This window comes from Homo sapiens, chromosome 22, assembly GCF_000001405.40.
Source record: "Homo sapiens chromosome 22, GRCh38.p14 Primary Assembly".
In the NCBI taxonomy this organism is placed as follows: Eukaryota; Metazoa; Chordata; class Mammalia; order Primates; family Hominidae; genus Homo; species Homo sapiens.
In genome coordinates this window covers 38,818,412-38,844,552 of record NC_000022.11, presented here as the reverse complement: position 1 = coordinate 38,844,552, position 26,141 = coordinate 38,818,412, and the positions used below count along the sequence as shown (strand labels likewise).

The 26,141-nt window shown below is 55.8% G+C and overlaps 1 protein-coding gene across 1 annotated transcript, besides 1 other annotated feature; it reads left to right on the top strand.

The window, feature by feature from the left end:
* Positions 1-524: 524 nt before the first annotated feature.
* On the top strand, positions 525-26,101 carry NPTXR (neuronal pentraxin receptor). The gene is made up of 5 exons (NM_014293.4): positions 525-1,318; positions 16,041-16,266; positions 17,806-18,053; positions 21,291-21,470; positions 21,720-26,101. Exons 1-5 carry the CDS (start codon positions 695-697, stop codon positions 21,942-21,944), a joined length of 1,503 nt encoding a protein of 500 aa, NP_055108.2. The 5' UTR covers positions 525-694; the 3' UTR covers positions 21,945-26,101.
* Positions 937-1,006: a silencer, noted in NCBI's record as "silent region_13733". NCBI's record gives its function as "represses an Ori minimal core promoter by ATAC-STARR-seq in GM12878 lymphoblastoid cells {active_cell/tissue: GM12878}" and the evidence as "EXISTENCE:reporter gene assay evidence [ECO:0000049][PMID:35858748]".
* Positions 26,102-26,141: the final 40 nt, after the last annotated feature.

Genomic DNA, 26,141 nt, shown 5'->3' with positions numbered 1-26,141 from the left:
CCCCATCCACAGTCTGGTCCGGTGAAACGTGCCTAAGCTCGCAGGCGGCTCCAACGCAGCCACCCGGTGACCTTGGACAGAGGCCTGACCTCAGGTGTCTCAGTTTCCTCATTTCTATTGTGAGCCTGTCCACGGCAAGGCTCAATTGCGACCGAGCTTGTGGCGCGCCCAGTGCACAGCCCCACCCGGAAGAAAGCTCCCTCCCGGGTGGATGTGAACATAACCGGCTTGGGGAGGGGGCCCGAGCACGGGAGGGCTGGGATGGGGGTCACCCAGGAGCCCCGCCGCGCGGCCCTCGGGTCGCCGGCCCCTGCGCTGTGACCGCGGCGAGATAAGGTCCCAGGCGCTGCCCTCGCTCCTCGCCGCATCCCCGGCGGCGCCCCCAGCCGGGCGCCCGGCACTGAACGGGTGCGGGGCTGGGCCGGGGCCAGGGCCGGCCCGGGGAAGCGAGTGGGGCGGGGCCGCCGCGCCCGCTCCCCCTCCCCGCCGCCTGCCGTCTTCTCCTCCTCCCGCCGCCCGGGCTCAGAGCGGCGGCAGCAGCGGCCGCGGCGACAGCTCCAGCTCCGGCTCCGGCTCCGGCTCCGGCTCCGGCTCCCGCGCCTGCCCCGCTCGGCCCAGCGCGCCCGGGCTCCGCGCCCCGACCCCGCCGCCGCGCCTGCCGGGGGCCTCGGGCGCCCCCGCCGCCCGCCTCACGCTGAAGTTCCTGGCCGTGCTGCTGGCCGCGGGCATGCTGGCGTTCCTCGGTGCCGTCATCTGCATCATCGCCAGCGTGCCCCTGGCGGCCAGCCCGGCGCGGGCGCTGCCCGGCGGCGCCGACAATGCTTCGGTCGCCTCGGGCGCCGCCGCGTCCCCGGGCCCGCAGCGGAGCCTGAGCGCGCTGCACGGCGCGGGCGGTTCAGCCGGGCCCCCCGCGCTGCCCGGGGCACCCGCGGCCAGCGCGCACCCGCTGCCGCCCGGGCCCCTGTTCAGCCGCTTCCTGTGCACGCCGCTGGCTGCTGCCTGCCCGTCGGGGGCCCAGCAGGGGGACGCGGCGGGCGCTGCGCCGGGCGAGCGCGAAGAGCTGCTGCTGCTGCAGAGCACGGCCGAGCAGCTGCGCCAGACGGCGCTGCAGCAGGAGGCGCGCATCCGCGCCGACCAGGACACCATCCGTGAGCTCACCGGCAAGCTGGGCCGCTGCGAGAGCGGCCTGCCGCGCGGCCTCCAGGGCGCCGGGCCCCGCCGCGACACCATGGCCGACGGGCCCTGGGACTCGCCTGCGCTCATTCTGGAGCTGGAGGACGCCGTGCGCGCCCTGCGGGACCGCATCGACCGCCTGGAGGTGAGCGCCGCGCGCCGTCGGGGGAGCCGCCCGGGTGGTGTGAGGGGCCGCCCGGCCGCGGTCGTCCGGCGGTCCCCGAGCCTCCGGTCTCCCGTCTGTGTTCCGGGGACGATCGCGCCTTCCTCGCTGGCGAGGCGGGGGGATTTCGATAGGGAACGCGGGCAGGCGTCTGGCACGGTGACTGAGGCACAGAGGGCGCGCCAGAAAGATTCGCTCCCCACCCTTTTCCGTCTCCAGGCACCTCTCTGAGCCTCAGTTTCTGTGTCTGTAAAATAGGTATAACAGTGTCCACTTGTAGTGGAAATTGAATCAAATGTAGGTGTGTGAAAATGCTTGGCACGTACTAGGACCTCATTAAATGTCCCTTTCATTTCCTTCTTCCGGACACCCCCAAATCAGCCCAGCTCCACGCTCACACTTTATGGCCAGGAGATGGATGCGCTGTCCAAAGGACTTGGGGTCCTCCCCTCATTACACAGAGCCGGGAACAGAGTGCCCTATAAGACAAACCTGGGTGCCCCTCACCACCTCCCTACCCTGAATCTCCCACTCTGGCTCAGACTATGACCCAAACCGCAGGAGCTCAGGTGCCAGGCGCCCAGCCTCACACACCTGGAAGCCCACAGCTCTTGGGTGGGGGCTGAATGGAGAACAGGGCCCCCCGAGCTCCTCCTCCTCCACTCACTTTTCCAGGCTTTCCTGACTCAGGCTTGGGGTCAGACACAAGGGGTCCAGCATGGGGGAACCCACTCTTGGCTCTCATGTGACCCTGGGCCAGTCATTTCCCCCCTGGAGTCCCATGGCCACCTTCCTCCCTGTAAGAATGAATTTGGGGCTCCCAGAAGTGCAAGGCAGACAGACTGGGCAGGACAAACATCCGGGACACATTCACTACCCCAGCCATGGCCTGACTTCCAGACCACAAGGAAGGGGGTTAAGCAACAAAATCAGATCTGTGGAAGGAAGAGAGAGAAAGAGGCCAAAGCCCGCGCTGCCCCCTCTGCTACCTCCACCCAGGTGGAGTGCAGCAGGCAAGTTGGAGGGAGGAGAGAGGCGGGGAGTAAATGCAGGGACCCCTTACTCCCGGGGCTTTTTAAGTTAAATCCTGGGCAAGCAGCACTGGTGATGCCCACTCACAAGGCTGAGGATGTCGTGGTCTGACAGCCCTCCAGGACGTCTGTACTGGTGTCAGCACCCTCCCCACAGGGTGTCAGAGTGCAGCCAGTCAGCCATTGCAGCCAACCCCTCACCTTACGGATGAGAAAACTCAGCTCAGAAACGTCCTAAGAGAGGTGGCAGAGGCAGGAGAAAAGCCGGGCCCATACCCACCTCTTCCCCGACTCCAGCTCTGGGGGATTTCTAGGATGAGAGAACCAAGAGCAGGAAAATAATCAGGAAAAAGGTGAAAGTATGCAATGAAGGGAAGTCTTAGTTTTCTCGCCTGTAAAATGGGGATAGTAATAGCACCTACCTCACTGGGATATTAGGAGGATTAAGTACTTTATATGAAAGGCCAAGAATAGTGCCTGGCACACAGGTATGTTCAGTCAATTTGAGTGATGGCTATTTTTATCATTAAGCTATAATATTACTCATTTTTAAAATACAGCCAAAACTCAAAATAGGAACAAACAGGTTTTAGGCAACAGGTTTTAGTCATGTAAAAAACAATTTTTGACTTTCATTGAATAAACTTCCTCGTGCCTGCCATAGCCCCTGCCCCCACGCCCAGATGGCACAGGTGGCTCCTCCCACGTCTGGGGCTGGCAGGCTTGGACCTGCCTTGGACCTGTGCCCCCAGCACCTGCAGCATTTGGCAGGGTGGCCTCCCTTCCGGTTAGCCCGCTGAGGTTGGGGGGATCCTGGCAGCTGGAATTTGGCAACAGGTCAGCCTTCCAGGCTGGGGGAGCCCTGGCTTCCCCATGTATACCTTTTCCTCTTTTCTGAGTGCAGCAGCCACAGACAGAGAAGGGCGGGGCCCTGCTTGGCCACCAGGTCTGCTTTCTGAGCGTGGCAACAGCCACAGCTAGTCTTTTGGGGGCCTCTGGGAGGGGCTGGGGCTGGAGCTGGAGCACAGCAGACACAGGGTGAGACCACTTGGCTCAGCGGAGTCCCATGCACCCGTTAGCCACTGTCCAATCTCTCCCCTCTCTTCTCATTCAGTATCCTCAAAGTGCCCAGATTTTCAGGGTCTCCTTTCCCTCCCAGGATACACTGAAGGTGCTCTTGCTAATGTCCCCAAGATGATAAATGAGGACTTCTCAGTCCTTATCTTGGGGGAACCCTCTCTGACACCTGACCCTGCTGATCATCCCCTCTTGCAGGTCTCCATGCCCTGGGCTTCCAGCCGCCTCTCACAGCAGCCCTCCTCCTCCCTCTGTCTGCTGCCTCTGTCTCCTTGCAGGGTCCTCCTCCTTTAAGGCATGTGCCCGTCTTGGCCCTCACTTTCCCTGGGTACACTCAGCCATGCCCTGAGGCTTCCCACACCCATTCCACGGAGGGGCCCCAAACCAAACTCAGTGTCCAGCCCAGGTTTCCTTCCCAAGCTCCAGACCCATCAACACATCGGCCTCCTGAGCATCTCTCTCTGGTTGTCCCATCAGCCCCCTAACCACACTGTGTTTCAGCTTGAACCAGGTACCTCCATGTGCCCTGAGAAACCATCCTTGGCCCCTCCCTCTCCCCCCAGTTCTGATTGGCCTCATCTCTGTACACGCTTGCAGCAGCCTCCTCTCTGGTCTCATGACTCCAGGCACACCCTTCCCTCCATCCTCCTCCAGGCAGCCCCAAGGGTCTTCCTTAAGCCCACCATGGGGCTCTCCTAACTCCTCGGCCTGCTCCTAGGCTACCACTTTGGATCTGGCCCCCGCTCCTGACCCCTCTCTCAGTTCATTCCTGCCTCTGCCTGGATCACCCCCAGCACATTCCTGCTCCACATCTTAGAGTCTGCTCCAAGTACACCTCCTCTCAGGAGCCATCCCTGTTCACACTCTGTCCCCTTCCTATCCCCACCTGGGCTTCCATAATCATCACACTTCCCTGCTGGTCCCCACCAGGCACATCCCTGCATCACCACCCCTCCTACAAAAGGGAAGGGAAGGTCTGATTGGCCTGTCCTCTCCCCAAAGCCTCAAGTGGGAGCCACATTTAAGGGCTTAGGGGAAAGTGTCTTCTTTTCCATTTTTATTTGTGTTGTTATTGTTGTTCATTGAAATAAATCAAAAGGTTTTGGGGAAAATGCTGCATTCAATTGCGTCATTTTCTCCCTTTTTGCAACCCTCTTTCAGTCCTTATCCATATGCAGCCATTGTTTGAGAGCTGCTGTGTAATTACCATTTTAATGATGCCATAATATCCTGGGATTCATCTGCAGCTCCCCATCCATCAGTCACTTGACTGGCTCCTGTTACTGGAGATGTAGGTTGTTTCTAATTATTTTTCTTCCAGATGTTCATTGCAGGATCCATTTCATACAGAGAGCTGTTTGTTTGTTTGTTTTTAAGTCTGTTGATTTTTTTAGGCTGAATTCCCAGGAGTGGTATTACTGGGTACTGGGTCAGAGGATATTGACTTTTTTTTTTTTTCTTTTTGAGACAAAGTCTAGCTCTGTCGCCCAGGCTGGAGTGCAGTGGCGCAATCTTGGCTCATTGCAACCTCCGCCTTCTAGGTTCAAGCGATTCTCCTGCCTCAGCCTCCTGAGTAGCTGGGACTACAGGCATGTGCCACCACGCCCAGCTAATTCTTGTTTTTTAAATAGAGATGGGGTTTTACCTTGTTGGTCAGGCTGGTCTCAAACTCCTGACCTCAGGTGATCCGCCCACCTCAGCCTCCCAAAGTGCTGGGATTACAGGCGTGAGCCACTGTGCCTGGCCAATATTGACTTTTTATGGCTGAGGCCAGGAGCCACTTTCCAAGAGTTGGCCCAATGATGCGGCTACAGGCCATGCATGTGTGTTCCCCTGTTCCATTTTTGTGCTAATTTAATGTATGTATACAACGGAACTTCAAGATTAATTTCAACAGCATTTCTTTGGCATAAACCACATCCTTAACCCAGCCCAGCAAGCTGATTGCCTCCTCCCATCCTGGAGTGGGAGCCAAATAACCATTATAGCGAACACTTACTGAGCACTTACTATGCGGCAGGCACAGTGCATTATCTTATTTAATCCTTGTAAAATCTCTGTGAGGGAGGTACAAAGAAACCAAGGTTCAGAGAGGTTAAGGAACTGGCCCCAAGGCAGCAGTGGAGCCCACTGTCTGGCTGTAGAGCCCTCGTTCTTCATCATCAACTCTAGACCCATCTGGAGGGGTCAGACGTCACCCACCTTTGGGAGCATGGAAAAGACAGGTGAGCTGGGCGCGGTGGCTCACACCTGTAATCCCAGCACTTTGGGAGGCCAAGGTGGGCAGATTATGAGGTCAGGAGATCGAGACCATCCTGGCTAACACGGTGAAACCCCGTCTCTACTAAAAATGCAAAAAATTAGCCAGGCATGGTGGCGGGCACCTGTAGTCCCAGCTACTCAGGAGGCTGAGGCAGGAGAATGACGTGAACCCGGGACGCGGAGCTTGCAGTGAGCCGAGATCTTGCCACTGCACTCCAGCCTGGGCGACAGAGCGAGACTCCATCTCAAAAAAAAAAAAAAAAAAAAAAAAAATAGCCAGGTGAGGGCGGTGCCTGTGCTAGTCACTGTCCTGGACCATTTCTGCCTCGGAGCCCAGAGTGAGAGGGGTGAAGGCCAGTCCTCAAGGCTTGTCCTGCTGACCGGCTAGATAGCCGAGAGACTTGCTGCAAGACCTTCACTGCTGCTGCTGCTGCTGATAATAACTAACACTTATTAGACACTTACTAGATACATATTAGCTTATTCAGTCTTCAGTCCTATGATAGAGGCTGAACGCATTCCCATCTTACAGATGAGCAAATAGAAGCTCAGAGACAGTGAAGGACACAGACCCAGGCAAATCCCTGCCCCGCCCCCCACCAGCTTCAGTTTTCCCCTCCATACAAAGAATGATATAGCAGGCCAGATACGCCCGAAACATGCTTCCAGCTCTAAAAAGTCTCTGAAATAGGTCAGGAGCGGTGGCTCACACCTGTAATCCCAGCACTTTGGGAGGCCAAGGCCAGCAGATCACTTGAGGTCAGGAGTTCAGGACCAGCCTGGCCAACATGGCAAAACCCTGTCTCTACTTAAAAATACAAAAATTAGCCAAGTATGGTGGCATGTGCCTGTGGTCCCAGCTGCTTGGGAAGCTGAGGCAGAAGAGTCACTTGAACCCAGGAGGCAGAGGTTGCAGTGAGCCAAGATTATGCCACTGCACTCCAGCCTGGGCAACAGAGCGAAACTCTGTCTCAAATAAAATAAAATAAAATAAAATAAAAAATAAAAATAAATAAGTCTCTGAAATAGAAAGGCTGGGAGGCACAGGCTTGGGTTCTTGCTTGTGACTTTAGACTAATCACTTTCCCTCTTGGTGCCTTGGTTTTCTTATCTGTAAAACAGGCGGGAGGAGGAGCTAAGTCCCAGTCCCCTTAGGCTCTACATTCTGAGTTCTTGGGCAGAAGGCTTCTAAATAGGGATTGTGTGGGGTGTAGGTGTGTTTATGGGGGTACATGTGTGTACCGCCCTCGAGCCCCTTCCACCCACTCCCAGAACTATGTTTCTCTGGGAAATCTGCAGATAAACAGCAGCTTCGAGGATCTCTTGGTGTCTTCTCTAAATTCCGTTGGTTGTCTTTGTTTTTCTCTGACTTTGCTGCCCATTCTAGAAGCTTCTGCCTAGTGGGCACTGGTTCCCCTGACCCTGCCTGTTTGGCAGTGAGGAGGGCTTGGGAGAAGGGAATGGCGGGGGGCTGTGGAATGTGGAGAGAGGGCTTCTGCTATTGGGCTTTGGTTGGAGGATGTGGACCCACAGTGTCCTCCCTCCCCCACAGTGCCCCCTCCAGCCCTGAGAAAGCTGCAGTGTGGAACATGTTCCTGGTACAGACTCCAGGGCCAGATCACCTGGGTGCAAATTCCAGCTCTGTCACTTGAGAGTTCTGTGACCTCAGGCAAGGTGCTTAACTTTCTCAGCCTCAGTTTCCTGTCTGAAATGGAGATTTGAAAGCCTGTGGGGGCTGGGCGCGGTGGCTCACGCCTGTAATCCCAGCACTTTGGGAAGCTGAGGTGGGCGTATCACGAGGTCAGGAGATCAAGATCATCCTGGCTAACACGGTGAAACCTCATCTCTACTAAAAATACAAAAAATTAGCCGGGCATGGTGGCGGGCACCTATAGTCCCAGCTACTCGGGAGGCTGAGGCAGGAGAATCGCTTGAACCTGGGAGGCTGAGGTTGCAGTGAGCTGAGATTGCACCACTGCACTACAGCCTGGGCGACAGAGCAAGACTCCATCTCAAAAAATAAATAAATAAAATAAAAAAGCCTGTGTGACTTGTTTGTTTTGAGGTTTATATTACATTCAAGATACGGAAGAGGTCACAGATCTCACTTAAACAGACACAAATCGTAAGTGGACAGCTCGATGAAAATTTGTGGATGGATACCCCTGTGAAAGCGCCAGCCAGATCAGGAATTGGAACACTTCCAGCACCCCCAGAAGGCTCCCTGGTGCCCCCAAAGACAGTAGCCTTCCAAAGGCAACGGCTATTCTGGCTCCTGTCACCGTAGTCAGTTTTGCCTGTGTTTGGACTTCGTACAAATGGACGCAGACAGCTGTGCACCCTTGCGTCTGGTGATCTTTCATTCAATGTCACGTCTGTGGCATCCAGGCTTATTGCGTGTACCCACGGAGGATTGCCGTTTTCATTGCCGTGTGGTGTTCCGTTGCGCGGACGAGCCTTAATTCATTTACCCGTTCTTCTGTGGATGGATCTGTGGGTTGTTTCTGATTTACAAATAAGGCTGCTGTAAACATTCTTGGGATATCTGTTGGCGGCTGTCAGCCCTCATTTCTCCCTGGATCGAGCCACAGGAGTGGGTTGCAAGAGGGGCATATATTTAGCGTCGGAAGGTACAGCCAAACATTTCCCCACAGTAGCTGAGAGAGTTTACAAGCCCGCCCGCGTGTAAACCTCGCCAAACTCGGTATGGTCATTTTAAAAACATTCCCGTTTCGGTGGGCGTGTAGTGCACTCACTGTGGTTTTAATTTGTATTGCTCTGATGATTCATGACGTTGAGCACCTTTTCTTATGTTTATTGGCCATTTTGTAAATCTTTGCCTGTAGGAGGTGGAATGAACTCAGAGGTCGGTGCTCCTCACAGAGTGAAGAAGGTGGGGTGCCGGGGCGGCGGGGGGGCGTCTCCCCAGGACAGTCTTGGGCACATCATCCCCGTGGAACTCTGGGGACAGGGATAGAAGCAACCAACCCAAGGTGGGAGCACTTATGTGCTTCCACAGCCCTTGTTTCACTCCAGGGGAAGCTGAGGCTCAGAGAGGCTGAGGGACCTGCCCACAGCCACAGAGGCTGAGTCAAGACCAAGCCAGGATTTCTCACTGAAGTGGGCTAGGGGTGGGGGACCTCCATCTGCTGAGGATTTTGGGGGCCCGGAAGGTGTGTGGGCAGGCAGGACCTCAGCAGAACTCCCAGCTGGGCTTCTGGAAGCAGCAGCCTGACAGGAGGGACTTTTGAAGGGAGGAGCAAGGGGCCTGGGGCCAGAGGGGTCTTTAGACACGGTCTGGGGTCTCGGACCCAGGAGGTACATGGCCAACCCCATCCCTGCTCCCTCTTCCTCATCCTCCTCCCCATTTGTCTTCTTTCCTTCAGCTCCAAAGTGGTACTAGGAGACCAGGATGATCAAAACCAACCTGTCCTTTGCCCACCACTCACCTGTTCCCCACCTGGGTAGGAGGAGGCGGAGCCACCTGCTGGGTCTGTCCCTGGAGAGGAAGGCAGGGTGGCAGTATGGGGTTTCTCTGAGAAGGCTTCCTGACCCCAAACTTCCACCTTGGCAAGAGCTGGTGGCCTGGCCATCCCAGAACAGCCTCTGCCTCACCGCCAGCTGGGAGCACCGCCAGCTGGGAGCACCGCCACCTGCGGAACCATGGGGCCATATTTGCCTTTGGGGCCACAGCACCTGGCACTTGGCAAGAGGCAGCAGGGGTGAGCTCACCCTCTGCACCAGGCCTGTCAAGGGCCTTACAATTGAATCCCACAAGAACTATGGTACTATTACTATCTCTGTTTTACAGATGAGGAAACTGAGGCTCAGAAAGTTTCAGAAGCTTGTCCAGCTCACTCAGCTGGCATTTCCACCCAGGCAGTCTGGCTCCAGGGCCTGCACCATGACACATTATGCTCTCCTGCCTCTCAATAACAGCAAAGAATAATAGTAATGTGACAACCACGTACTGCCTCTTATGGTTGACCACACTTCATATCTGTTCTTTCATTTTATCATTATTTATATCCCCAAATGTAGGTACTATTATTACACCCATTTTACAGATAAGGTAACTGAGGGCCAGAGGAGTTAAGCAGCTTGCCCAAGGTCGCAGATCTAGTAAGCAAGGAACTGAAAATGACGCTGGCCTGTCTAACGTGACAGTTCGTGTCTGCAACTACGACGCCATGTTGCTGCGGCACACATGGATGGATGGATGGATGGATGGATGGATGGATGGATGATGGATGGATGGATGGATGGATGAGTGCTCTGCAGCCCTGCCAGAGAAGCTCTCAGGGCCCTCTTCTCTCTCTATAGAGCATCTCAGTTCAGGCATCAGGGAAGCTGCCATCTGGAGGATGAGCAGGCAATGGGCAGAGGAGGGGTGGGGGCGGGAAGAATGTTCTTGGAGAAGGAACAGCATGTGTGGAGGCCTTAGGGTGAGAAGGAGTTTGGGGCAGTTGAGCAGCAGAGGACTTTCAGTGGGCGTGACCTATGTCCTGTCGGGGTAAGGGCTGAAGCCAGGAGGACAGGGACTTTATTGGCAGGGAGACGGGGCTGTGGAAGGATTTTAAGCAGGAGAGCAACATGGCTGGATTTGCCTCTGGCCGCTGTGTGGAGGGTGGGAGTGGAAGCTGTGGCACAGTCCAGCGGAGAGTAGCCAGGACTAGGGAGAAGGCTAGGAGCTGAGTGAAGCTCTGGGCGAGACGCAGGTTTAGATTCAAGCATTAGAGACACCACTTCATGAAGCTCTGGGTAAGAAGCAGGGTTAGATTCAACCACTAGAGATGCCACTTTAGGATTGTTTTCCTGTTTTTAAAAGAAAATCATGTCAAGTATTTCAGATGGGCAAAAAGGCATAAATACTACTACCCAGGCCCCTGCCCAGGCTCAAGAACCAAACGTTTCCAATCAGCTGATCCCCATCACAAGGTCAGGAGATGGAGACCATCCTGGCTAACACAGTGAAACCCCATCTCTACTAAAAATACAAAAAATTAGCTGGGTGAGGTGGCAGGCGCCTGTAGTCCCAGCTACTCGGGAGGCTGAGGCAGGAGAATGGCGTGAACCCCAGGGGGGCGGAGCCTGCAGTGAGCCGAGATCGTGCCACTGCACTCCAGCCTGGGCAACAGCGAGACTCTGTCTCAAAAAAAAAAGAAACTCCATCGCAAAAAAAAAAAAAAAATTGTTAGTCACGACATTAATAGTAGACACGCCTGTGATGCTTCCTATGCCTACCGCGCACTAAGCGCTTTCTGTCTATGAACTCAGTCAATCCTCACCACGATGCTATGAGATTTACTCTTTTACCCTTTGGGGCCAATGGGGAAACTGAGGCATGGCACCGTTACATAACAAGGCCACTCAGCTGGTGAAGCCCAGGTGTGAGCCCTAGCAGGACTCAGAACTCAGGGGATGGTTGGATGGGGGAGGTGAGGGGCCGTGGTCCACACTGCTCCCCCTGAAGGCTGCTCACTTTCCACCTGGTCCTGGTGCCCCTGCAGTCTGCCCCTGGTGAGGGAGGTGGGGTGGCAGGATGGGGTTTCTCTGAGAAAGCTTTCTGACCCCAAACTCCCACCGTTGCAAAACCTGGTGGTCTGGCCGTCCCAGAACAGCCTCTGCCTCACTGCCAGCTGGGAGTACCACTACCTGGGTGATCCTGGGCAGGGGCAGTGGTGCAGAGGGTGGGACCCTGACCCTCAACAGACCCAGACCAGCAGTGTAGGCCTGAGGAATGAGCACAGTCTGTGGGCTGTGCAGAGGATGGGACTCTGGCCCTGGAGTCCTGCACCTGCCTTCTGCTCCCTGCAGCAAGGGAATAGACCCCGGGTGGGGCTAAGGTGATGGGGTTTCCCTGCATCCTCCCAGCCTCAGCCACCCCACGCTGGCAGGACCCTCCTATCAGTCTCCCTTTGTGAAGCTGCCCTGCGCCATAGTCTCACACAACCTTCTGGATCTTCTAGACTTCCCGTGGCCATTAGTACCTCTCCTGCTTGCCTTCGAGTTAGGCAGGGCAACCAGCACTGTGCCCACTTGGCAGATCAACCAACAGACCCAGACCATCAGTGTGAGCCTGAGGAATGAGCACAGATTTCAGGATCAGGAAGGCCAGGCTGGAGTGCTGGCTCTGCAGCGTCACAGGTATGTGACCTTAGACAGGCACTGAGCCTCAGTTCCCTCATCTCTGAGTGGGCCTCCCTACTTCCCCAGGCTGTTGAGAGCAGCCTAGAACTGTTTGCACAGATCTTCCCTAGTGCGGGGCCTGGCATGCAGCGAGTGCTCGATGGAGACAGCTGCTGCCGTTAGCATTCTGATTGAGTGCTAATGAGCCCAGCACATTATGGCTGAGCCAGGCCTAGAACAAGGGGCTCTGGCTCTAGGCCCAGCACACTTACGCCAAACCCCACCCCGGACTCCCAGCGGGACAGGCCATGGGTTCCCAGCCTCCACCTTTCTGCCCCAGCAGGAGCTGAGTGGGGGTGCTGGCGTCATCATTCCCTCCATCATCTTAGGTGAGGGGCCCAGTTGGCATCGGGCCGGGAGCCCACGCGGCACAGCCTGCGCCCACAGCAGATGGGAAGTGGGGGTGCGGGAGTCGTGTTCTTCTGATTCAGACACTGGGACGGGGAGGGACTCACACACGATCCGGCGAGCCCACCTCCTCCATGGCCTTCCTGGCCGCTGCAGAGCCAGTGGCTCTGACAAAAGAACAGCTTGAGCGCACACCCCCTCAGCCCGCACGTTTTCTCCTCCAAACAGCGTCTGTTTAAATAGCCTCGACTCCCTGTTCTTGCTGGCAGATCTTCCTCCCTCTGTTCTTCCTGGCAAGTCTTCCTCCCTCTCTCCCTTTGCTGGAGAGAGGAGATGCTGGCTCCAGGGGTATCGGTTTGGCCCAGCCCCATTGCTATAGACAATTCAAAACGACTCCTGCCTTGGTTTCCCATCTGTGAAATGGGGATACGAAGAGTGCCAGCCTCAGCGAGCAGCTGCGAGGATTCATGAGTAAACACATGCCAAGTGCCTATGATGGGCCCGGTGCACAGCCTCACTCCCGCATGCCCCTCTGGCCTCAAGCTTGGCACAGAGCGGGTGGAGAACTGAGGACAGAACAGTACCTGGGACCAGGGACACCCTGCCCCAGCCCGCCCTTCCAGCCCTGAGATGAAATGCGCCCCTTGAGCTGATTGCCTCAGTCCAAGGCTTCCTGGAAGTCCAGCCATCTCGAATGCAGTGGGTGGCTGACCCTGTCACCCTGTGGGCCATCCAGTGTCACCTGAAGGCTCTGGAGGTAATGAGCGCCCCATCAGCTAATGTAGTCAAGCCCCACAGTTGGCATTATGCTTTTATAGTCCATGAGGGCCTGTCACTTGTCCTCCCATCCTTCCATCTGTCCTGGGAATGAACAAGAGGAAGTCTGTTTCACCCCACACACACTTTTTTTTGTCTCGCTCTGTTGCTCAGGCTGGAGTGCAGTGGTATGATCATGACTCACCGCAGCCTCAACCTCCTGGGCTTAAGCAATCCTCCTGCCTCAGCCACCCAAGTGGCTGGGGCCACAGGCATGCACCACCATGCCTGGCTAATCTTTGTATTTCTTGTAGAGATGGGGTTTCGCCATGTTGCCCAGGCTGGTCTCGAACTCCAGGGCTCAAGCGCCTGTCTTGGCCTCCCAAAGTGCTGGGATTACACACATGAGCCACCATGCCCAGCCTGTTCCCGTTTTAGAGGAGGGGAAACCAAGGCTTTGTGGTTAGTCTGCACCAGAGTCAGGGTTTATAGGCACCTTGACAGAAGGAGCCCTCGGGAAAGCAAAGATGAATGTAAGCGGGGAGTGCACTGTAAGGCTCCTCGCCCATCCCATGCCCACCTTCACCTGGCCTCCACCCCATCCTCGTGGGCCAAGTAGGCATCTGCGTGGCTGGGAGGCCGTGACCTCTTACACAAGAGGTGGGGGGGGTGGATAATGGTGGCCAGAGTCCCCCCTCTCCCGCTGCTTTCATGGGTCCCTTTCCAGAGCCAGCCTGGACGACCACAGTGACTTGTGTCTGTTGCCCCATCTTACAGCCTGGAATGGAGAGGTTGATCCTCAGCCCCTCCCACTGCCAGCAGAAGAGGGGGGTTGCTGAGTGTGAGTGGCACCAGACCCCCTGCCCTGTGAAGCAACCTCACCTTTCCCATGGGAGCCAAGGGACAGGTGGGACAGAGAGGGAATAGGGCTTCTGGAGAGGCCGCTTGGCAGATGCCAAGAGAGGCTGCGTGGCGAGTGATGCAGAGGGGGCGGGCGAGCCAGACTGCTAGGCTCAGATCCCAGCTCTGCTCCTGCTCCTGGTGTGATCTTAGTTAACTCACCCTAGTTTTCCTGCCCCTGAAATGGGGACACTGGCATGTTAAGTGGATTCAGAGAGGGAATGTTTGCAAGGTGTCTGCTAAGGCTCAGCCGGCAGCAAGAGCGTCCCATTCAGTCTTCCCACCTACCCCATGCACCCAAAACCATGCCCCCGGCACCCACTGTGGGCCAGGCTCTGGGCACTTCCCTTACACGCCATCATTTAATGCTGGCCAGCCCTGGAGGCTGAGCATTCCGTGTCTCCATCTTATAGAAGGGGAAAAATGATCTCGGAGTGTCAGCCCACCTGTCCCTACTCTCACGGGGCAGTGGCAGAGCCGAGGGCCGGTTCCTGCAACTCCTCAAAATGAGGTCACATTGCTGTCCACACTGGCAGCTCCCAAGTCTCGGGCACTGAGCATGGCAGTGGTCCTTTGCCCCCAGCACTCTGATGCAGGGGACGCACTTCTCCCCTTGTCCCATGGCTAGAAAACAGGCTCAGAGAAGTTAAGGAGGAGTGCACAGCTCAGAAGGAACACGCGGCCCTCAGTCACAGCAGCCACCAGCAGTGTCCAGTGTCACCCAGCAAATGACTGACAAGGCCATTGGCTGGGCCAGTGAGGCTGGACAGGGGATTCTATACTTGTCCCAGGCTGCAAGGCCATCCCCTCGCAGCTTAGGAAACTGAGGAAAGGTGGGGTTCTTGGTTTTCTGTTTTGCCTCCAGCCACAACTTCAGCATCTGGGGCAGTGCCCAGCACAATGGGGGTGCCCTCTGAATGTTTGCTCAGTGACTGAATCACAGAATGCAATGAGTTCGTGTCTGGGGCCTAAGCCTGGGAGCAAGGAACTGACTGAGCAAAAACTTCCCAGGCCCCTGGGGAGTTCGCAAGCATCAGGCCTGGTAGCGGGGACCATGGAGGAGGGGGAATCCAGGAGGATGGTGGAGGATGGTGAAGGTTTAATTTAGCTCCTAGCAGCTCATTGAATTATTAATCTCCTACTGACATTTCTGTGACATGTCTGCCACAGACTGTCCCCTTGAAGAGTCTGGACCTGCGGCCTCACCTGCGTTCCTCCACCCCAGAGGGGCCTTCTTCCAGCAGGAGAAGGGGAAGGAAACCCTCCCAGCTCCTGCCCCAGTTCTGCTGCCCTTGGGGTCTTAAGATAAGACAGGCATGTCATGGGGAACTCTGAACACTTAGACCTCATCCCGGGCTGGATGGGGGATGTCAGAGCCTACCCTGGAACACCCTGCCCTAGACAGCAATTGCAATAAGCAGGCTCTGTTTATTGATATTTAATCCTTAGTCCTCCCCACAACTCTCCAAATAGGTGCAGCTCTCTTTTGAGTAAACAAGTTCAGAGAAGTCAGGATATTTTCTCAGAGTCACATAGCAGATTGGTTACCGAGCTGGTTTTGAACCCTGGGCTGTCTGACTCCAAAGTATGTGATTTCAACCACCTGTCACCCTGGTATGGTCAAGCCACCGGGGCCCTGCTCCAGAAGTCCCTGTTTCACGCCCTGAGTGGGCCCAGTGGCCATACAGAGCCTTTTGCCAAGGACCGTTCTAGAGAAGCTTGCTGAGTGAGGGAATGAAGACTAAGATGGTCCGCCCCTTTACCAGCCTATCAGTGTCTAGCCTTGCTGCTATGAAGGACTAGGGTGGGGCGTTCAGCCCCAGCTGCACCCTGAAACCACCTGGGGGACCTTCACAGCACTCATGGCCACGCCCCACACCCCCACCACAGCCTGAGCTGTCCTTGAGGGCCGGGGCCAGCTCTGCCTGCTGCTCGCCGTCATGTGCCAGCACCAGGAACAGAGCCTGCCAGGGACCCAGGATGCATCTGTTGCCTGATGTTGGCCATTGTCATTCCCATTTTGCATACTGGGGAAGCTGAGGCTCCCCTGGGGTCACTGAGCAGGGGCGGTAGGCATCTGAGTGTTCCCAGCCTGTCCTTCCTCCCCTCAGTTGATTTCTGTTTCTCTGCCCTGTGAACAGCAGGAGCTTCCAGCCCGTGTGAACCTCTCAGCTGCCCCAGCCCCAGTCTCTGCTGTGCCCACCGGCCTACACTCCAAGATGGACCAGCTGGAGGGGCAGCTGCTGGCCCAGGTGCTGGCACTGGAGAAGGAGCGTGTGGCCCTCAGCCACAGCAGCCGCCGGCAGAGGCAGGAAGTGGAAAAGGAGTTGGACGTCCTGCAGGGTCGTGTGGCTGAGCTGGAGCACGGTGGGTCCTGGGTCCTGCAGAGGGCATTGGAGGGGTCCTCAGGATGACAGAGCCATTCAAAAAATATATCCATGCTCCCCGGAGGCTAACATCGACAGACTGGAGGGTGGGGAGGAGGCTGTGGAACACACAGTGGAGAGAATCATTGGGGGATATTGTTATCATTATCAACATTATTAACAGATCTCATTTTCTGGCACTTACTGTGTCCTGGGAGTGGGCTAAGTACTTGATACATCAGCTGATTTAATCCACAGTTTTCACAGATGAGAAGACCGAAGCTCAGAGAAGTCAAGTGACATGCTCAAGGTCACACAGACAAAAGTGGCGGGTCTGGACCTCAAACAAGGTCTGACTCCACAACCATACATTTAACCACCCACAAAATAGCATTTTCAATGACTTGGTCAGGATTTTGTTTAACACTTGTGCCTGGCACTGCCAAGGGGTCAAAGGAACATAATGGGCAGGGTACAGGTATAAGCATAAGGAGACCTGGCTCCTGGTTGCATATCTGTCTCTGGCTTGCTCTGTGACCTCAGAAGTTCACTTCCTTCCCCAGGCCTCAGTTTTCCTCATCTGAGAAATAGGGGTTTAGGACTCATGAGCTCTCAAAGACCTTTCAGCTTTCAATTCTTGTGAAGACCACCCTTAAGAGGCTTACAGACAAGTTGGGGAGAACAGGAGAAATGGTGAGCAGTTAGCTGGGACCAGCTTACATGGGGAACAGGGGTTCAGGAGAAGAAAATCCAGGCCCAGGCATGGTGGCTCATGCCTGTTATCCCGACACTTTGGGAGGTTGAGGTGGGCGGATCACCTGAGGTCAGGAGTTCAAGGCCAGCCTGCCCATCATGGCAAAACCCCATTTCTACTAAAAATGCAAAAATTAGCTGGGTGTGGTGGTGCATACCTGTAATCCCAGCTACTCGGGAGGCTGGGGCAGGAGAATTGCTTGAGCCTGGGAGGTGAAGGTCGCAGTGAGCTGGGCAACAGAGGGAAACTCCGTCTCAAAAAAAAAAAAAAAAAGAAAGAAAAAAAGAAAAAGAAAAGAAAAGAAAGAATATCCAAGCTGCTTCCTGGAGGAGGCAGGCCTCAAGCTACTTCTTGAAAACAGTGGTGAGGAGCAAATTTCAGAATGGAGGGGCCATCGCAGGGGCACAGCTGCAGGGGAGGGACAGGTCTGGTGGCTCAGGGCCAGCATCCTAGGTGGAGCACAGGAACAGGAGAAGCAACCTCCAGCCCTCCTCAGCCCTGCCTCTGGCCTGTCTACCCCGGGTCTCCCAACAAGTTTAATTTGTTGACGGTCACGTGGCTGGGAAGTGGGGGAGACGAGATTTGGTCTCAGGACATCTAAGGTCCAGAGCCCCTGCACTTTAATCACACCCCTCAACACAGAGGTGGAGCAGAGAGAGCCCTGAAGGCACTGGGCATGCAGCAGGTGCCTGGGAGCTGTTAGCCATCTTTCTGAAGTGTGCCCTGTCCACCCCACCCTTTTCGGTGTCCACCGACCTCCACCATGTCTGCCTTGCCCACCCTCAGGGTCCTCAGCCTACAGTCCTCCAGATGCCTTCAAGATCAGCATCCCCATCCGTAACAACTACATGTACGCCCGCGTGCGGAAGGCTCTGCCCGAGCTCTACGCATTCACCGCCTGCATGTGGCTGCGGTCCAGGTCCAGCGGCACCGGCCAGGGCACCCCCTTCTCCTACTCAGTGCCCGGGCAGGCCAACGAGATTGTACTGCTAGAGGCGGGCCATGAGCCCATGGAGCTGCTGATCAACGACAAGGTAGGCAGGGCTGGCAGGGAGGGCTGGCTGGGGGAGGGCCACCCTTCCAGAAGCACCCACTCCACACTGGGCTCTTTCATTCTCCTGCTCATTCTCCTGCTCTGCATATTCAGCACACATTAAGTACCTACCGTGTGCTAGGCTGGGCTCTGGGAATATAAAGACAAGCCAGACATGGAGCTGCCGGAAGAGAGGCTGTGTCCAATAGAGGCTCTAAGTGTTGTTCCATTTTACAGAGGAGGCAAGTGAAGCTCTTGGGGATCCAGTGACTTCCCCAGTGACCCAGCTATGGGACAGGGCTGAGGTGTCTGCCCCCAGGGCCCTGCTCATCATCCTGGACTTAAAGAGAAGGGAGGTGGCCGGGCGCACTGGCTCATGCCTGTAATCCCAGCACTTTGGGAGGCCGAGGCGGGCGGATCACGAGGTCAGGAGATTGAGACCATCCTGGCTAACATGGTGAAACCCCATCTCTACTAAAAATACAAAAAAATTAGCCGGGTGTGGTGGTGGGCACCTGTAGTCCCAGCTACTCGGGAGGCTGAGGCAGGAGAATGGCCAGAACCCGAGAGGCAGAGCTTGCAGTGAGCTAAGATCGCACCACTGCACTCCAGCCTGGGCGACAGAGGAAGACTCTGTGTCAAAAAAAAAAAAAAAAAAAAGAGAGAGAGAGAAGGGAGGTGCACAGACCTACCTGGGGATGGAGGGAGGAAGGGAGTGCTTGTGGCCTCCTCGTTCCTTCTACTTCCCTGGAGCCAGCCCCTCGGGCCCTCCCCGCTATGGAGAGTAGAAAGGTGTTGTGCTCAGGCTCTGGGACCCAAATGCTGGTTTGAGTCTTGGTTCTGCATCTTCACCATTGTGTGACCTCAGACTAGTCTTCTACTTGCCCTGTGCCTCAGTTTGCTTATCTCTAAAGCAGGAATGATAAGAACTCTTGTCTCTTAGGGTTGTAGTGAGAAGTGGCTTAAATGCATGTAGAGGGCTTTGAGCAGATCCTAGCGTTTAGCAGACATCAATAACTGTGAGCTATTTTTATTATACTGGGCACTGTGCTAATAAGCAGTTTACTCACATTATTACCCTTGACCTTCCCAACAGCACTGGGAAGTAGGTACCCTCATTATCCCCATTTTGCAGATGGAGAAACTGAGGCTCAGAGAGGGGAAGTAATGCACCCTGGCCACACAGCTGCTGGGGTGTGATGTGATTCAGGGTCTTGGGCTCCGGAAACCACCTTTTAACCCCTCCCCTGTTCTGCCCTTGGGCCACCCATCTTCCTCATGCCCAGGCCTCCCTCCCCGATGCCCCTCCTTCAGCCTGGCTGGAAGGCAGGACAAGGACAAGGCAGGGAGAATGATGTGGCAGGAGCATGGTAATTGAGGGGAGAGGAAGGGGAGCATCTCATCACTGTCATCCACTCCTAAAGCTCCTCCCCAACCTGCCACATTGTTTTGGGCCTTGCAGGCATGGTGGTCTATTGAGACCCCCCTGGAAATGCAGATACCACATATCGTACCCACCTGTGACCAGCCCACAACACATAAAGCCACTAGGAGTGATTGATACCCATCAGACCCAGCTTAGCAGAAGGTGCATTTCATGGCATTCTGGAGGGGGAGGAGGAGGAGGGAGGAGATGAGTCCAGGGACCAGTGACTTTCCCTTGTGGCCCAATAAACCCTACGACCACCGGGGTGGCTGGACTACATCTAGATCCTGCTGCCTTGTGCCCTTCATCACCCCCTGGCTGCCGTCCTTGGCCTGGCCCAAGTTCAGCACTCAGTTCTCATTAGAAGGAATTCAGCACCCTGGACAGGGCATTGGGCAGCCCTGTTCTGGGACGCTCTAGAGTCCTTTTGAGAGCCAGCCTAACAGACTGCTCACTGTTCCCTTTTTATTCCAGCCTCTAAGCCTTTACTCCTTCTGTGCCCACCACTTGTTTTGCCTAGCAATGGAATGGTGGATCCATTGTCCTTCCAGACGGGTTTTGACGTGGCTTCTGTTCCCATATCCCCTCTACCTCTGGGCCTCGCAGCCTCTGTACCTCCCATATGCCCTCCGTTATTTTGTCTTATAGCATTGCCCCAAAGTCCTTCCCCTCCTGCAGACTCAGCTCATTTAAGGCGTGGACCAGCTCCACATCCCCAGGATCCACAACAAGGCCAGGCACCACGTAGGCCTCAGAGAATGTTACATTAAATTGTGATCTCAGGCTGGGTAAGGTGGCTCTTGCCTGTAATCCCAGCACTCTGAGAGGCTGAGGTGGGTGGATCATCTGAGGTCAGGAGTTCAAGACCAGGCTGGCCAATATGGTGAAATCCCGCCGTTTCTACTAAAAATACAAAAAAAAAAAAAAAAAAATAGCTGGGCATGGTGGTGCACGCCTGTAATCCCAGCTACTTGGGAGGCTGAGGGAGGAGAATTGCTTGAACCAGGAGATGGAGGCTGTGGTGAGCTGAGATCACACCACTGCACTCTATCCTGGGCAACATAGTGAAATTCCATCTCAAAAAAAAAAATGTGACCTCAGGAAACTTACCAGATGAGGAAGCCCTTTGGGAGCACCAAATCCACAGACAGCAAGCACCTTTCATCTTACAGGCCAGCTCTAACCCATCAGCAGTGGCTTTCCAGAGCACTGTGCTGAGGGATCTGAGCTAAATCGAGGCTCGTGATTGATTGGCTATGTCTGCCCTGGGTGGAGGAAGATTTGCCATCCCTTGCAGACTTGTCATCCCTTGTCTGACCTCACTTTACAGATAAGGAAACTGAGGCCCAGGGAGGAAGGAGCAGCCTCCCCAGATCACACAGGGGTTGGTGGCAGAGCCAGGGCCAGATGCTGGAGCCTGGCCTCTGAGTCCAAGGCTCATTCTATCCCTGCCAGTACTTCTTGAGCCCTAGCTGTGTGCTGAGTGCTGTGTGAGGTGTTCAGGGGAAGTTGGGATTATGAGACATCCCTCTCTCCCCAAGTGACCTTAATAGGCCTGTTGGAGAGTGAGTGAACTACCTTGTGACAACTGAAAACCAAAACCAGAGAGTCCCTTGTGATCTGGTTTGGTCTTTGAGGAAAGAGGAGACAGGAGTCAGGGAAAGACACTGGGCAGGAGGATGGAGAGGGTCAGGCCTGGGGTCGGGCCCTGGAAGGATGGACATGGGTCTCCCCAGCCCCACCCCACTGCCTCAGCCATGGGCCTTGGGCCTTGGGGCACCTCTGACCTGGGGTTGGGGGACCTGTGTCCAGGTGGCCCAGCTGCCCCTGAGCCTGAAGGACAATGGCTGGCACCACATCTGCATCGCCTGGACCACAAGGGATGGCCTATGGTCTGCCTACCAGGACGGGGAGCTGCAGGGCTCCGGTGAGAACCTGGCTGCCTGGCACCCCATCAAGCCTCATGGGATCCTTATCTTGGGCCAGGAGCAGGTAAGGCTCAGGCTGATATTGGGGCTGGACCTCCTAATTGTGCAGATGGGCAGACTGAGGGCCAGAGAGATCAGAGACCTGCCCAAGGAACTAGAATCTTGAAGGTGGGGCTAGAGCGTTGGCGGTGGGGCTTCAGTGGGGTTGAAGGTGGGGCTGCCTCGGGGACAAGAGCCTGACTGAGCCAGCCTGCCTGTCTTTTCTGCTCCCTCACTCCATGCCTCTCCTTTCTCTGCTGCTGTCTTGGCCCAGGATACCCTGGGTGGCCGGTTTGATGCCACCCAGGCCTTTGTCGGTGACATTGCCCAGTTTAACCTGTGGGACCACGCCCTGACACCAGCCCAGGTCCTGGGCATTGCCAACTGCACTGCGCCACTGCTGGGCAACGTCCTTCCCTGGGAAGACAAGTTGGTGGAGGCCTTTGGGGGTGCAACAAAGGCTGCCTTCGATGTCTGCAAGGGGAGGGCCAAGGCATGAGGGGCCACCTCATCCAGGGCCCCTCCCTTGCCTGCCACTTTGGGGACTTGAGGGGGGTCATATTCCCTCCTCAGCCTGCCCACGCACTGGCCTTCCCTCCTGCCCCACTCCTGGCTGTGCCTCCCATTTCCCCTCACCTGTACCCACACCTCCAGAATGCCCTGCCCTGCGAGTGTGTCCCCTGTCCCCACCTGAGTGGGGAGGAGCGTCTCAAGTGAACAGTGGGAGCCTGCCCACCTGGCACTGCACTGGAGTTGTCTCTTACCCCACCCTCCCTGCCCATCAACTGTATCTGATTTCACTAATTTTGACAGCACCCCCAGTAGGGTAGGATTGTGTATGAGGGGGACCCCACTATCTCAGTGGTGGGGGTGGCCGCCCGCCCCCTTGTCCCCCATGCAACAGGCCCAGTGGCTTCCCCTTCAGGGCCACAACAGGCTGTAGAAGGGGATGACGAGGACATCAGAGGTTAGACTTACCCTCCTCCCTCTTTCCACCAGCTGCCAGTCAAGGGCAGTGGGATCTCGATGGAGCCTCCCCCCCCCCCCACCCATGCCTCCCTCTTCCTCCTCTTTCCTCCTCTCTTTGTGTGTAGCGGTTTGAATGTTGGTTCCATGCCTGGCCCAGCCCCACCTCAGTCTCCAGGACATTCCTTTCCCAGCTCCAGCCTGGAGGGAAGGGGACAAAGACCCCAGGAGGCCAAAGGGCTGCAGTCACCCCTTGTGCTCACCCATAGTGATGGCCACTGGTATAGTCATCGCTCTCCCTCCATGCCAAGGACAGGACTTGGACCGCTTCAGCCTGGGCTGGGAGCAGCCCTAAGGTAGAGGCCTCATGGCCCAGGAGACCCCACCTCTGGCAGAGCCACATTACCTACCCTGTGCATGGTCCTGGGGCAGCAAGGAAGAAGCTCAGAGGGTGGGGAGAAGCATGAAGCAGTGAGCAGAGCACTGGGTGAGAGGGAGAAGACCTTGGTTCCTAGCCAGCCCTGCTAATGTGCTGTGTGGCCTTCTGTAAGTCCCTGCCCTCTCTGGGCCTGGCCTTCCTCATTCGTGAGCTGAGGCCCTCGCTTTGGTCATTTGCTCTCCAGATTGGGTGTGAGCTTCTCTGTGATTCCAGGTGGATATGTGGGGAAAGCTCTGGTGACCCTGGGCTTCGCAGGGGTAGATCCCAGGACTCGGCAGTGGATGGGATGCAGCCAGTCATGGGTTAGGGTCAGCAGAGACTCAGAGTCCAGGGCAAGGTTCAAGGCAGACTAACCTCATGCATGGATTGTAAAAAACCAGCTCCCTTTGGATCAACCCAGCCTGGCACCCTTGCCTGTCTGAGAGTGTCTCAAAGGGCTGATGGCTTCCTGGTCCCCTTGAGTCATCACCAGCTTCCCCAAGAGAGTGTCAGAATCTTAAGAGCTGAGAGGCCGGGCACGGTGGCTCACGCCTGTAATCCCAGCACTTTGGGAGGCTGAGACAGGCAGATCACTTGAGGTCAGGAGTTCGAAGTCAGCCTGGCCAACGTGGTGAAACCCCATCTTCACTAAAAATACAAAACTTAGCTGGTTAGGTGGTGCATGCCTGTAGTCCCAGCTACTCGGGAGGCCGAGGCAGAAGAATCTCTTGAACTGAGGAGGTGGAGGTTGCAGTGAGCCGAGATCACGCCATTGCACTCCAGCCTGGGCAACAGAGCAAGACTCCATCTCAAAAAAATAATAATAATCTTAAAGATGAGAAAAGCCACCCCATCTGGCACCACAGCTGCATCTTGCTTGTGAGAAATGGGGAAGAGTTCAGGGAGGACACGTGACCTGCACAGGATCACAGAGCATGGGGCAGAGCCAGGACTAGAGCTCAGGGCATCTGACTCCCTCTTCAGTGTTCTTCCCCCTCCATGTTGCCTGCCCCTGAAGACCTTTGAGTTCAGTCTACACCTAAGCAGGTAGACATCCGCGAGGTCAGATGCTTTCCAACATGACACCTGAACATCTTCCTTTATGCAACACCCAAACATCTTGGCATCCCCACCCCAGGAAGTGCGGGGAGGAGGTTATGATCCCTGGGCGCTTCGGCAGAATGGAGAGCTGAGGTGTCCCTCCCCTGCTAGTCACCTACCAGGTGTCTGAGCAGCTGCATGCTCCCTGGCTCAAGTGGGCACTGTACCTTTTGCCTGCCTTTTTGTTCCCTATCTCCACTCCCTGAGGCCACTTAGCCTGAGACATGATGCAAGAGCTGCAGGCCGGGGGGCTCAGTGCCATGGAAGCTACTCCAAGTTGCATTGCCTCCCGCGCCCAGATCCTGCTTTCCATTTCGAGAACATAAATAGATTGCCCAGCCCCTCCAGTACAATCCCACTGGAAGAAAAGGCAATGGCGGGCTTCAGCCAGACCTGCTGAGACCTAGGTTGCCACGGTAACAGCCAAAGACATCAACCCAAGTGCTGGGTCAAGTGTCTCATCATACTGGCACTGTTGCTGGGGTGACGGCAGAATTCAGAACTTCAATTTCAGTGACGCCAAGCTTGATGTGTTTCTGTTATTGTTTTGAAGAAGGTAGCTCTTGTGGAGGACTTGGGAGAAGGATGGGGTCTTAGGAAGGAGGTGACAGCACTTGCATGGTCACTTGAGCCCACACACACGCTCAACCCCAAGTCCTTTATGCTTTGTCACAGTGAAGATGAGACCTCTGACGTCCAAGCCTTGTTCCTGTGCTGCATCACCCACTCAGCCTTCCAAAGGGAACAGGAACAAATTTCCCCAGCACCACTGTTTGGGTCCCGCTTTTCCTATCTTCTGCTGCCCCTGAGCACATCCAAGCAGACAGGGAAAGAGGAGTCAGACATGGCCCAGTCACATCCTGAGCTGCTCCTGGCTGATAACCACGATGGAGCCCGTGTTTGTCCTGCCATCTGGCACTGCACTGAGTGTGGCACAGGCACCGTCCTGTTGATCTCACAACACAGTTCTAAGTTAGGACGTTCTTGGCTCCGTTAGACAGGTGAGGAAACTGGGGCACAGAGAGGTGATGTCATCTGCCTGGTGTCAATCAGCTAGCAAGTGATGGAGCCCAGATTTCAAACCAAAGGGGGTTACGTCCAGGGGCTGAGTTCCCACTCACCTGTGTAGAGTGCCATCTGGGCACCATTGCTCCAGACGTGTTCCGACCCCTTTCCCAGCCCACAGGGCTTGAAGTGAAGGAACAGAGGCAGGGGGTGGGCCAGCCCCAGGGCCAGGGTCCCCTTGGTGAAGCCGTGCCAGGGGGCTCAGCTGCTTCAGGGAATGTGTCCCTCCCACCATGGGCCAGAGCTTCAGCCCTTCTTTAGCTCAGCTAGAGTTCACAGGAGAGCCAAAAAAGAAAAGGAAGCTGAGCATCTCCCGAGTCCTGGGCAGGGAAGGGGAGGGAAATTGCTGCTTCTCCAACTCTTGCTTGGGGCCAAGCCCTGCACCAGTTGCTTCCCAGCTGTTATCTGCCAGATCTTCCCATCTTGTGGCATGTGGTGCCCCCACCAACATCCCAAGGGGACCAATCCCCTTGCCACCACTTTGCATCACCTGGGACCACAGATTTGGACAGGAAGGGCTCTGAGAAGAGGCCAAAGCCCTCATTTTACAGATGAGGAAGCTGAAGCCCGGGGAGGGGAGCGACCCTCAAGGCCACCCAGCTGGACACGGGAGACTTGAGCCCAGCCTTCTGACTGCATTCAGCCCTCTCTAGGACGCAGCAGCCTCTCCCCAGCACTGAGTCCCCCCTCCTTTGTGTGTCCCAGCACCCTTGGCCTGAGTAAACTTGGAAAGGGGCTCCCTCCCAGAGAAGGGACTACTCTCTTCACCCCTTTATTCCAGCTGCCTGCCACCCCAGACCCCCACCTCCCACCCTGACCCCCGACCCCTGGGTGGGGAAGGGGCTCACATGGGCCCAGGCTGAGTGTGAGTGAGCATGTCAAGTTGTCTGACACTGTGACATTAGTGCACCCTACTGACAACCCCTCCCCAGCCTTGCCCCTTTCTCCTCTCCCTGTTTTGTACATAAATTGACATGAGCTGCAACATGTGTGCGTGTGTGTGCGTGTGTGTGTGTGTGTATGTGTGTGTGATCTGTGTCATGGTTTTGTTACCTTTTTGTTTTTGTAAACTTGAATGTTCAAAATAAACATGCTGTTTACTCTGAGGCTCTTCTTTGCAGGGATGGGGCTGCCCTAGGGGGTGCT